The following is a 13326-nucleotide window of genomic DNA, read 5'->3' on the forward strand; positions in this document are numbered from 1 at the left end:
AAATACACAGCATTCAAATACTTTTATGTTGTTGGCTGGTTACCAGGTTTTAAATTGACTTCCTTAAGGGTGGATAGGGCTGGCTAATCACTACCACTTTGTTCTAAAAACTAAAAGGAAATCAGGAAAACTTTACGCATTGTTCTTTATTTCTACTCACCAAACTACATTAGAATAGTATTATTGGTACAGCTACAACCTTCACAGAATGACCTCCATCTTATCTTAGTGGAGATGGTGGACAGCACAGGGTTTGGTTTCAAAGACAATAAGATGAATGGTACCTGGTAAAAGCACTACCTATGACATCTCCCTTGACAATACCTGAGCGTTGAGAACACCCTATAGAAATGGCTTCAAAACCAGGCAAATTGCTCATTGGATTCAGGGTCGGTGAGCTATCTAACTCTGCATATGTGCATAGAGGTGGAGGAAGTTCTCAAACAAAGAGTTGAAAGAAGTGTGTAGGCTGGGTCAAAGAGGACTTTGGCTGTGTCCAGAATCTGATACTCAGACAGTATGAAAATGTGTCACCACTTCTAGGGAGACCAGGTAGGAGAAGAGCACTACCTTCATCCACAGGGAAAGTAGTGCTAGCATGTCCCAACCCCAAATGGACAGAGAGAGAACTATCTCAAGGGTGTGGTGATGCGTCTTGGAAATCCAGGTGCTGAACTGCAGGGGAGGAATATCTGAGGCCAGCGAAGACAATGTATTCACAATCAGGAGACTGGGGACCAGGACATGAGCCACAGAGAAGCCTGGGGAGCCTACAGGAGGGAGAGAAAGTATAGGCTGGAGACAAAGAGGAAGAAGAGTCTGGGACACACTGTCTGGCACAAAATAGACACAGAAATAGTTGTTGAATCAATGAACAAACAAGTGAATAACTGGGGGAGATCTAACATCCTAGCTTGGCCTGAAAGCTCTGTTGCTTAAATCTACGTCAGTCAGGAAAGATTTCCTGTGTAAATACCTTGGCTGATTTCGATCCTTATATTTAGAAAACCTGTCTCTTGCTTTTAACCCAACCAAACCTAATTCAATCTACTTGCCTGAATGTGTGATACTTTGGTTTTTGTGGGGTATGTGTGCGTGTGGGCACACGCACATGTGCATGCACACATGTTTAATTTTCATTTCTAATAAAATTAACTTAAACCCCTGTGTTGCCGATGAGTTTATCAAGGGCAGGAAGCAGATGTTTTCACACTTGGACCAAGGCTGAGGGAGAAGAGGTGGTGCGACACTCAAAGTCTCACCGTTGCCTCTAATAAGAAGGAGGCAGATCCACACAGGGCAGGAGCCCCAGGGAAAGCTATGTCAATGTCGGAGGGAGCAGCTTAACGAGCGCTGCCTGGGGAAGCTTGCTCTGCATGATATTGAAAGATGCCACAATTCACACGTCCTGTGGCTGCACTTCACCTCCCCCGCAGAGAAGTCTGTGGCTGTGTTAGTGCAGCCACACCCTTGCCTTGATTTTCTGTCATCCTCTTTGGTAACTAACTTGGACTTCCTGCTTCCTTGATAGCCCATTCTTGGTCCATCTGTCTTTGTCAAGGAATGAGATTCCAGGTTTTTCTACAAGGCTCACATTCCAAGAATGGCCTTGTAGCCTGATTCTGCCCAAGTTTTTGCCTGTTCTTGACATATATTATTGCCTTCTCTGCCACACCTTTCTAACGATCCTACCTTATGCACAGCCCTGGAAAGAGAAACCCCACAGACAGCTTGATCTGCCCTAACTTGTACAGAGTTGACTGTACCAAGTTAGGACTCCTGCTTCAGGCAAATACATCTATAAGGCTGGCCAGTGCCATGTAGCAGGTGACCTGGTTCTGAGATGGATTAATGAGCTTCCTCCCCTAGAGATTGAGAAAGAGGGATTCCAAGAGACTGAACCAGTCCATGATAAGGTTGTGGGAACACGGAGGCTGTGGTAAGGGCATGAGGAAGGTAAAGAACATTGAATGAGAGGGGACAGAAGACCATATGAGAAAGTAGAAGACAAACATCCTGATTTTCCACTCCCCAGATGGAGTCCTGTGTAGCTCAGCTACCCCTCTAGCCCTTCAACTCCACAACAGTCCCTGCAGGTCTTCAACAAGCCCTGTAGGAGACGTTCTTTTTGCCTGTTCATTACTCAGTACAATTTATTTTTGTAACAGTACTTTGATTTTTCTTTTGGGGACTCACACTTCTCTCATTCTCAGACTGTGGGGAGCGAACACGACATAGGACTAGTCAATTAAAATAACTTATTTCTTAGCCATATAGTAATTGGTTCATGGATAGGAACGCGACAAAAGTTGATACAATGACAATCCATCGGAGGGGAGAAAGAGGCTTCCATACATCTGGGGTGTCCATACTGCTATATAAGCATCTGGGGCTGTCAGCAGCTGTTTTTCTATTTTATGGGGAATCTTACAATAGAAGTCTGCTAGAGAATGAAATCCCCTTGGGGGAAAACAAAGCCAAAAGATGGTGAAAGACAGAGACCCAATGCCATTGTTTTTAGCCCCTAGATGCAGCCATACCTGAAGTCATTATACCCTGACTTTTCAGATATAAGAGCCAATATAGGCCAGGCATGGTGGCTCACGTCTGTAATGCCAGCACTTTGGGAGGCCAAGGCAGGCAGACCTCCTGAGGTAAGGAGTTCGAGACCAGCCATGCCAATGTGGCAAAACCTCATCTCTACTAAAAATAATAAAATTAGCTGGGCATGGTGGCGTGCACCTGTAATCCAAGCTACTCAGTAGGCTGAGGCAGGAAAATTGCTTGAACCTCGGAGGCAGAGGTTGCAGTGAGCCAGGATCCCGCCATTGCACTATAGCCTGGGTGACAGAGCAAGATTCTATCTCAAAAAAAAAAAAAAAAAAAAAAAAAAAAAAGCCAATATACACTCCTTCCCTTTTAAAAAATAGTTTGAATTGATGCAAGACTCTTGACTATTATGTATCCTTTTAGGATCCAGATAGCCTGTATAGGTTCCTATTTCTTGCAGCACAGGAACCTTCCCTACTGATGCCTCTCTCCTTTTCCTTCTACTGTTTTGGTTATCATGAATAAGGTGTTAAAAGAAGAGCAGAAATTTCAACTTTAGGTGCCTTAGTGCCTTTGTAAACTGCATACTCAACCATCTAGCCATCTTTTCCATCCATCTTACTAGCCCATTACGTTTCTCAGTTTGATCCAAGTAGTCTTAAATGTCTTCAGAGGGCACAAGGAAGATTACAAAGACTATTTTAAGGTGAAGAGTAGCCCATTACTTCCACTCAAATTCTATTGGCCAGAAATCATTTGCATGGTGGAGACATGCAATGTTCCCTTACTCCCAGGAAGGAGGAACCCTAGTGAGTAGACACTGTGTGCTGCACTAACATAGTACTGGCCCAAGATAGGCACTCAATATTTGCTGAATGAATAAACAATGAGGAATGTATAGAGTTGGGGATTGTAAGTAATTCAGAGATTCCTCCTTACACTATCAGGCAAAGAGGAAAAGCCATATCCCACTGTCATTCATGAGTGAGCATGTTCTCTCTCCCCAGGGAAATAGGCTAAGTTCAGTCTCTCTGCACATTCGCCCAGATTTTCTCTCTGGCTCCTACGCTTTCCACAGATCACAGCTTTTTTTTTTTTCTTTTCTTTTTTTTTTTCTTTTTTGACAGAGTCTTGCTCTGTCGCCCAGGCTGGAGTACAGTGGCATGATCTCAGCTCACTGCAACCTCTGCCCCTGGGGTTCAAGCAATTCTTGTGCCTCAGCCTCCCAAGTAGCTGGGACTACAGCATGCACCATCATACCCAGCTAATTTTTTGTATTTTTAGTAGAGATGGGGTTTCGTCATGTTGGCCAGTCTGGTCTCGAACTCCTGGCCTCAAGTGATCTGCCTGCCTACCAAAGTGCTGGGATTACAGGTGTGATCCACTGTGCCCAACCAGATCGCAGCTTTAATTGACCAATTTTGTTTTCTACACTGATTTGCTCTCTCCACATAATGATACTGTGCCATTCCTATGTCATCCCAAAGTGTGCCAAATATCTCATCAGGTGGGGTGAAGGGAGAGGAATGGAGGAGTTTGCTTGTTAAATTCACATTGTATATGGATTTAGAAGTGTTTTACTCTCAAGACTAAGCAGTTCAGAAATAGATGAGGGGCAATATTTTCCTTTACTGGAAAAAAAATATTTTTACACTGAAAGTCACATATATACAAGTGTATGTATGCATCTATCTGCCTAAAGAGGAAATCATTATGAAATCTTGTTACCACTTTATTTACCTGGTTTTATATTTTCATGGGCAAATATAGCACGGAAATTTACTAAATTTACTCTTGAGTATTTTAGAGGCAGTGGCTACCCAGTCTGGAGAAACTTTTCTGCAGGACCCAGCTGTGGATGGGGCTCTGGGAGCCAGTCTTCCTGACACTGCTTGGTAGGATCAAAGTGTTTTGTTTAAAGGAATATTTTCAGAGAATTATAATGTAAATTTAAAAATGGGATTGGCAATCATCATAGATTTAGAATGCAACTTAAAATTTTTTTTAAAAATCTAGGCTCACCTTTCCTTGAATACTTCTTTGATACTGATATTTCCTTGATTGTGGGGAAGATTTTTCAAAATCTTATTCTGCCTTGAGGTAATCATTATGAGCATCAATCATCATCATGTGGATATAGAGCACTGGCAAGGCCAATGTTAGATAAAAGAGAGTTTCTAATGCCTCCTCTAGGGTGTGGTTCTGTTTTCAAGGGACTTGCCATTACATCCTTGAACTGAATTTTACTGGACTTGAAAAAAATTTGCATGCAAATTCCTTATTAGGGTTACAATCTTGGGCAAGCCACTCAATCTGTCTGTACGTCACTTTCCTCGTCTGTAAGATGGAGATAATGATAATTCCTACCTCATAGGGTTATCATGAAGATTAAATGAGTTAATGCACATAAAACATTCAATAGAGTTTCTGGCACAGAGAAAACTTTAGCTATTATTATTTTCTCATTATTTTTAAACATATGTATTACTGAACAAGCATACCTTTGGAGAAATTTATGGTTTCCATTTGTAGTAAAATCAGATGTAAGTTGGCATCTAATGTTGAAGATAAAATATTTAGAGAAAAAATATTAAAATTTAAATACTATTCAGACTCTGAATTATTAATGCAAAGCAGCTTTCACTATAAATATTTGGTCTCTGAGTTTCAAGATAAATGGAAAAAATAATGAAAACCAAACTCACAAATGCCCTCCAGACATGGGGATGCTAGGGCTAGTTAAAATATGACTGTGGATGCATAATGATTTGGGGGTCTTTACGGACAGGATGAAAGGGGTCAAGCAGATGCTGAGGAGGGCAGGGTGTGAGAGGGCAGCCTGGCTCTATCCGCAGGCCCAGTGGCCGGCCAGTCCACCCAAGTTAGAGCATCAATGAGCTGTCAACTAGTTGGTTGATCTCAGCAAGTCACTGAAGTCCCAGTACCTCCCTTTTACCATCTGTAAAATGAGAATAATAATAATAGTCGCACTCTCTTCAACTTAAAAAGAAAACAAGGGAGAGAGAATAGAAAACACGTCAAAAGTTAAGGGTTAGAACATGTAATTCTTCTACCACAAACAAGCATTTCTATGGGAATAAAGAAAGACTTTGTGAAAGTTATTTATTAAGAAAAAAATGTGGCATGGTATATGGACATATAAAGTTGACCTGATGTCATAGAAAAAGTGTGGACGTAAGCCTTAGAAAACCCAAGTGTCTGAAAAGTAGGACCAAGCACTTATTAACCTTGGGCAAGTCACCTAACTTTACTCAAGCTCAGTTCCTCTATTAGTAAAATTAGGACAATATTACATGCCCCATATGGTCACTGTCAGGGACAAAAAAGGCTGAAAATATATAAAGTCATCTGGCAATTAATAGGTACTTAAATGTATGTGCATAAGTGTATGTATGAGTGTGTATGTATATATGATCTATATGATGAATAAATAATATATAATTTGGAGTTTGGTGTAGATTTGGGGTTATTTATATCTATGATCTAGTATCTGTGATCCCCTTGGATAGATATCAAGAGGGTATGTGAATCCCTTGAAATTTACTTTATGCTTGTGCATTTTCTGGGGAGAGAGTCCTCTGTTATCATCATGTTTTCCATCCAAGGAGCCCATGACCTTGAAAAAGATTAAGCATCACCAGTGTAGACAGAGAGATGGTGAGAGTGATGGGTAGCTTTGCTTCCATATTGCTCACTACCCATAATTCAGCATATCTATGCAGTGGTCATCTAGCGTGAGAACTTCCCCCGTTTAAATACACAAGGTTCTCCTTACCGGAGAAAAACTGGAACCTGGAAGAGGGTACTTGTCTTTGACAGGGACCAAAATTTCAAAGTAAATAGTGGGAAAGAGATCTGGGACTTTATCTTTAAAAATGAGACCAAAATTTTTGGAAATGAGTATATGTATATTATTTTTAATAAATTTTAAACTGTAATTTCAACAACTTGCCAGTTTTATAAAGAACAAAGAATAAAATATGGGTTGATTTATTTGGCCCATGTCTTCCCAATCAGGTTGTGTGAGGGCACCACGTGACCTCCTTTACTTTCATCAGTACAGTTGTTAACAGTCTTATTTTTTTAAGAGTCTGCAAAAAAATATTTGAGACATGTGCCACTTTCCCAAGAACCTGTCATAAGCCTCTAACATCCAATCCCTCACTTTGAAGCCCTTGGGCTGTCATCATGCTTATTGGCTTTTCTTTTTAATTGATAACAAGTTATCTTCTTTTGTTAAGGAATTTGTATGTGACACAAAGCTGGCTTCCAAAATCCCTTTCATCAGCTTGATAAAGCCTTGCATCTTTTGAAAAATGTGCTGCTTCAATTGGCAAGTGTTGTGCAATCTATTTTCACTGTGTTTCTTGATGCTGGAAACATCTGGATGATCCAGGAAAGACAGATGTACATAGAGTTGACTCTCGACACAGTGGGGGGCCCACCGTTAAAACGGGAAGGATGTCTGAGTGGGGCTAATTTGATAAGTGGTCCATTAATTCATGAATGTTTCAATGTTATGACAACTTTGGCTTTCCTGCTACCTTTTAACCATCAACGTTGGATAATGAATTTTCGGATAAGGGAAAACCAAGGTGAATCCCTCTACGGTTAGTACAAACTGGTACCAGCTTGGCGCAAGGAGAAGAGGGCCCTTTCAGTGCATTCTTCCAAAAAAGCCATGTTGCACATAGTGGCTGGTGAGGGGGAAATAATACATTTCAGGCAAGTGTAGGTTAAATAAGCCCTTGAGAATTAGTCTATGAACTCTACTCTAGTGGAAAATGAGGCCCACATTCCAAACCAATTTCACAACGCCCCCATCCCCCTTTTTAATAACAGCCCATTTTTACATAGGGGGTTGCCTATTCTGCAATTCTGTAATAGTGAATTTTTGCTTATTGTGTTTCTGGATAACAAGGTGTGCCTGTGTTTCTTTCTTGCATATCGGTTTGCAGAAAGTAATTGCCCTGCAATTCTTAATCCAACCTGTTCACGCATTCCTTTCTGCATTGTTCTTGTTCGTCATGTCTGAGCTGTCACCTGAGAGCTGATCTTCCTTTGCTAAAATCCATTCAAGAAGCATCTTTACCCTTCAAGATGTCTGGTGGAAAGATACACTGTTTTGACTGATGTAGCAAAACATTTACAGAGCATCTTTTTCCAAAGTATTATACTCTTGTGTTACTTCCCAAGAAAAAATCTGTTTGTAGAATAAAATGGTGGAATTTAGATGAATGATTGTCTTTTTGGGAGAGTGTTAGAGGGTTGTCACTTAGTAAATATAACCTAAAGAATAATAATGCTAATATTTGTTCCTTTTTCACCGAAAATCTTATTATGTGTGCTAGACACTGTGCTAGGCATTTTGTATGCACAATCTATTTTAACCCTACTTATTACTGTCCCTGTAAGGCTTTTTCCCCCAGTGGAATGTAAGCTCCATGTAGACAAGGATTTTTGTCTTTTTATTTATTGCTACAACCCTGGTGTCTAGAACAGTGCCCGGAATAGACTAGATACTCAACAAATATTTTCTGAATAATAAATGAATCCCCATTTTACAGATAGGAAAGCTAAGGCACAGAGAGGCCAGTTATATACAATTTACATAAGGTCACAACGGTAATAAGTGAAAAATCAGATTTCGAACAATATTTACTAGCAAAAAACCTACAGTCCTAAAAGATATGCTCCCTTTTTCCATCCAACACACACACACAAACACACACAGGTGCACAACCACTCTCAGACGCATGCACAAAGAAGCCTGCCCAGTTCACCTGCTTCTTCAGCTCACCACAGGCCGACTGCTGAAGGACACATTTTTGTTACCCATCCTCCTCCTCAAACTGTCCTCTTTGAACAAAAATCCTCTGTAGGTTCCTCTGCTGGCAGTCTTCATTAGTATTTAGTGACCTCCCCTGCCCAGTTCTCGTTTCCTGCACTACAATCCCCGCCTCCCGATGAACTGTTAATTATAACTACTACAAAGTCTACACTCGCCTGGGAGACAGGCTGTTTGGCAGCAGCTGTGAAAGCCGAACTAAGTTCTTTGGGGATTAATCCGCCGCTGCATGTAGTCTTACAAGTACAGCTTTGGAGGAAAGGAAAGGAAGATAAAATGAGCTAATGCTGTTCGTATAAATGTGAACTTCTACATAACACACACAGGCGCACCCACAAATACGTTGACTGAAAGTTAAAATATGATTATCAAAGGATAAGAAAGACTTACAACTGTAATGTAAAACATTAAGAAATATACCCTGGCTTTCTGTGTTCTGCAGGGATACAAGTGTGCTCTGAGCCAAGGAAAATTAAAAAAAGAGAGAGAGAGAGACAGAGATAGCACATTGAAATATCTTTACGTAGACTTAAATATAGCTTCAGAGATTATAATTCAGATCAAGGCTAGAGCTCCATTTCAACATTCCTTAACTGCTGGTAATATAACAAAGGTCTGCAAATTGGGAGGTACGTCTGCTTGGGAAGGGATGCTTATCTGATCTAGGCCCATCTTTCTTCATGTTTCAATCCCAGAACAGCTGCCCTTCCCTTGGTGAGAAACTCAGCGATGAAGGCACAAACCCAGCAAGCTGAAAGCGCAGCTGGCTGTGGTCCTGCTGCAGCCGCCTCGCCCTGTGGAGAGTGTGCGTTGGCGGGTGGAGCAGAAGTGGGCTACTTGGGGGAGTCCTTGGTGGCTGCTGGCAGGCAGCTGCATGCCCCGCAATAGGGTAGTGCCCATTTGTAACCCAGCGGGGGGTGGTGGTGGAATACAGCAAGACGATGGGGCCATAAGAAGGAGGCAGGGCCAGCTGAGCTTCCTGAAGCTGGGGATAGGTTGGAAGGGTTATTCTTCCCTTTCGTTCATTCCCTCACTCGTTCCTTCATTCATTCACTCCTTTTATCTTCATTTATTTTACTCCTTTTATCTTTCTTTACTTTCCCCCAAATTATTCATTCAAATATTAGTAGAGCAATGCAGTATTAAAATCAAACGCATGGACTTGGGGGACAGACTTGGGTGGGACTTCCAGTCCCCTCAATGTGCCAGCTGTGAGACTTTTGGGGAATTATTCAACCTGGATGAGCTTCAGTGTCCTCATCTGATTAGCAGACATCTTAACAGTGCCACATCTCCTAAGACTGCTGCAGGACACTATGATTCAGTGATAAAGGACTTTACGTGCTGCCTGGCACATGCTAAGTGCTCAATAAACAGCAGGCATTAGGATGAGGATGACAGTTCTGTGGGAGCCACAGAGATGTGTCTCGCAGGCGGCTGCCTCCAAGGGCCACTTGAAAGATACCCAGTCTGCATGGTTGTCCCTGAGCAGAGGAGTCATACATGAGTAACAAGATAAAAAGTTAAAAAAGTAAGAGAGTCCCAAGAGGAAGGTGCAAAGAAAGCCCCATGGAGAAAGACCATCAGATCCAGAGTCTGTCTATTAGAAGAGTATCCCTTTGCCCTGGTTCAGAGACATGGCTGCCGAGGACTGAGCCCCAGGCAGGAGAAATGGTATGTTAAGGGGCTGGCACACACAAAGCTCTGAGCCGACCCCAGACTGAGAGATGCTGCTTCTGCTTCTGTTATGCTCCCTCAGAAGACAGCTTTTTTGTGACAAGGGGGAGCGGCAGAGAGAGGGTACAAGTGGGACCAGGGAGGGGACACACACCACGGACACACTGGACAATTTGCCACTCTGTAGCAGTTGAACAAGGCCGGGCAGGGACATGAATGAAGATTCCCTTTCATCCCCCATCTCAGAACCTGGGGCTTATCCCACAGACCAGCTCCCCGAGTGTCCTGAGGAACAAAAGTTCTACAAGTCATCCTTCCCCAAACATTCCAGAGACACCTGCATAAATACACCTGTGACAGGCATAAGACTTCACTTCCCTCTAGGAGTCACACTGTGCTCATTAGCACATCAAAAGCTCTGAGAAGTCCTGCATAGACAATCTGTTTAACTTGATTCTTTCAAAGTTATCCAACGCTGAATTTTTTTTTTTTTTTTTTTTGAGAGAGAGGCTCACTCTGTCTCCCAGGCTGGAGTGCAGTGGTGCAATCTTGGCTCACTGCAACCTCTGCCTCCCAGGTTCAAGCAATTCTCCTGCCTCAGCCTCCCGAGTAGCTGGGACTACAGGCGCGCACCACCAGGTCTGGCTAATTTTTGTATTTTCTACTAGAGATGGGGTTTCACCATATTGGACAGGCTGGTTTCAAACTCCTGACCTCATGATCCATCCGCCTTGGCCTCCCAAAGTGCTGGGATTACAGGTGTGAGCCACCGCACCTGGCCAATAATTTTTTAAAATAATGCCTTTGTCCCAATCCAATGTATGCGTTTTATACATAAAGAAGTGCAGGTGCAGGGTGAAGAAGATGAGACTCTCTCGAGGCCACACAGTCAGTGAGGAGCTATGCTGAACCTGAATGCTAGCTCTGGTGAACAGCTCTTTGCCCTCCTCCTCATTTCCCCATGGAGCCAGGGCACCCCCGTCATGTGCCAGTGCTCCTTGGAATAGGTGGTGACAATGCTGACACTTCTGTCAAGCAGAAGTCATTCAAGGTGACTGCCTTTTAACACACTTCTAAAAACAAACTGTAAAAGCCTCTCTGAAATGTCTGATGGGGAACGGATTTTTAAATCCACGTCGCTGGAAGACATGCAGGTGGGCCAGGAGGCAGAGGGGCCGGCAGGGAGGGGCACAAGGCTCTGGGTCCCAGGTCCTGAATCCCGGCTCAGCCCTTCCACTGCCCTTGCTGGCCATGTGCCTCCAACCCTCCAAGCCTGATTCCTCACTGTGAAACAGAGGATTGTGTTGTCTTTTGGTCCTGGCTATTTATGACTGGAAAGAGAAAGGCTTGTCAGAATTCAGGTTGACTACTTGGCATTTGAGAGAGCCCCACATCCACCACTGAAACGCCCACCCCACCACGGTGATTGTCATGCTTCTCTGCCTCCTTATTCATAGAGCGTTCCCTGCAAAAAGAGTCCTCGCAAGGCTCCCCAGTTCTCCTAGAACATTCAGTCTACTGACTCTCACTTAAGGCTCAGTGCACACTGGATACCACCCACCTCTCCAATTTCATCTACCATCTCTCCCCCCATCTCACTTGATGATCACCACCCTGGCCTGCTTCATGCTGGCTCCTTCTCATCCGAGGGTCACCTTCTCACATCAGCCCTTCAAACTATTTCGTCTGAGGCAACATCCTCCCCTCTTGGTCTCTTCCCCTTCATTTCCTTCTTTGTACTTACCACTGTCTAAAATCATCTTACTTATTTGTTCATTTATCTGCTTAATTTCTGACTCTCCCTGAGAGAAGGTAATCTATGAGGGCAGAGTATTGTTTATTGCTTCATATTTACTGCTTGTTTACCTGGCACAAAGACTGGCAAAAAGTAGGTGCTTATTAAACTTCAATTAAATGAATGAAGAAATTCTCTTCCAGAAAAAAAGCCTGCTTACCCCTTCAAAGTCCATGTCAAATAAAGCCTTCTATGAATCACCTAGGCAAAATTGAAAAGCCACCTTTTTTGTATTCCTACGGCCTTTGTGTCTGCCTCTCATAGGGTGTTTTTTTTTTCTTTTTTTTTTTAGATGGAGTCTCTGGCTCTGTCACCTGGGCTGGAGTGCGGTGGCGCGATCTCAGCTCACTGCAACCTTCACCTCCCGGGTTCAACCAATTCTCCCTGCCTCAGCCTCCCAAGTAGCTGGGATTACAGGCATCCGCCATCACACCCAGCTAATTTTTTTTTTTTTTTTTTTTTTTTGTAGTAGACACAGAGTTTCACCATGTTGGCCAGGCTGGTCACAAATTCCTGACCTCATGTGATCCTCCCACCTCAGGCTCCCAAAGTACTGGGATTACAGGCGTGAGCCACTGCACCTGGCCTGCCTCTCATAGGATGTTATATGCCAGTCTGCCCTCACTGCTGTGAGGGCAGGGACCTGTGCATGTCATTCTGCAAGTCCACAGCCTCCGCCAGAGGCTAGCCCTCTGTAGGTCTTCCACAGTGCTTAGAGAATTAAGGAATTGCTCGTCTAGAACCAAACTCTCTCTGGACTCATACAATCAGGGCTTTGTTTGCTCTCCAGGAAAGTTCAGCCATAAGAGTTTTAAAGCTTACATTAAATTGTCTACATCTTCCTGTCCATGGGCCTTCCCCAAGAGAAACATCATCTGGAAGCCATGTGATCGAGCGGACACTGATTTTGTGTAAGCCCCACATCCTGGGTTCTAGTCTCAGGCTTCAGCTGGGGGATCTTGAACTGGGTCTTTCGCTTCTCTGAACCTTTATCTCTTTAGTTTATGAAAGAGATTGAAAAACCTCTGAAGACTGCCCCACCCAGCCCTTACTGGTTTTGAATATGTGGCTCAGTCTTTCATATTCTCCCTCTAGCAGTCCATACATGTGGTTTGATAAGGAGTAAGTCTACTAGGTATAGCCAAACAAGTATTTTGTCAATGAAATCTTACCCTCAGAGAAACAGGGGATCATCCATTATTCTCTGATTGGTGTTTTTAATTAGACTCATTCTGCCACACACAGGCTTATACCAAATGAGGGGATTTTTATATCTGTTAAAGGTCCAAGGCTTTTCACAGATTGCAAAAAAGGCAAAATCCCAGCAGCTCGGAATGCTGTTGCATTTCATTTTACCCAGCCTTGTAGATTAGCTCCAAAGCCTGCTTGGTCAGCAAACATTTCTGCTGTCCCAGAAAAGCTCTTCAGTTCTTCC

The 13326-nt window shown here is 43.1% G+C and overlaps 1 protein-coding gene across 19 annotated transcripts in view, besides 2 other annotated features; it reads right to left on the reverse strand.

The window, feature by feature from the left end:
- ERC2 (ELKS/RAB6-interacting/CAST family member 2) overlaps positions 1 to 13326 on the reverse strand; it is a 960157-nt gene that overhangs the window by 130372 nt on the left and 816459 nt on the right. The gene's annotated exons all lie outside the window — the stretch shown is intronic.
- Positions 8687 to 9200: an enhancer, noted in NCBI's record as "H3K27ac-H3K4me1 hESC enhancer chr3:55681397-55681910 (GRCh37/hg19 assembly coordinates)". NCBI's record gives its function as "activates a minimal SCP1, AML or CMV promoter by ChIP-STARR-seq in primed H9 embryonic stem cells {active_cell/tissue: H9 hESC(primed)}" and the evidence as "EXISTENCE:reporter gene assay evidence [ECO:0000049][PMID:30033119]".
- Positions 9201 to 9714: an enhancer, noted in NCBI's record as "H3K27ac-H3K4me1 hESC enhancer chr3:55681911-55682424 (GRCh37/hg19 assembly coordinates)". NCBI's record gives its function as "activates a minimal SCP1, AML or CMV promoter by ChIP-STARR-seq in primed H9 embryonic stem cells {active_cell/tissue: H9 hESC(primed)}" and the evidence as "EXISTENCE:reporter gene assay evidence [ECO:0000049][PMID:30033119]".

Source organism: Homo sapiens, chromosome 3 (genome assembly GCF_000001405.40).
Source record: "Homo sapiens chromosome 3, GRCh38.p14 Primary Assembly".
Lineage (NCBI taxonomy): Eukaryota > Metazoa > Chordata > Mammalia > Primates > Hominidae > Homo > Homo sapiens.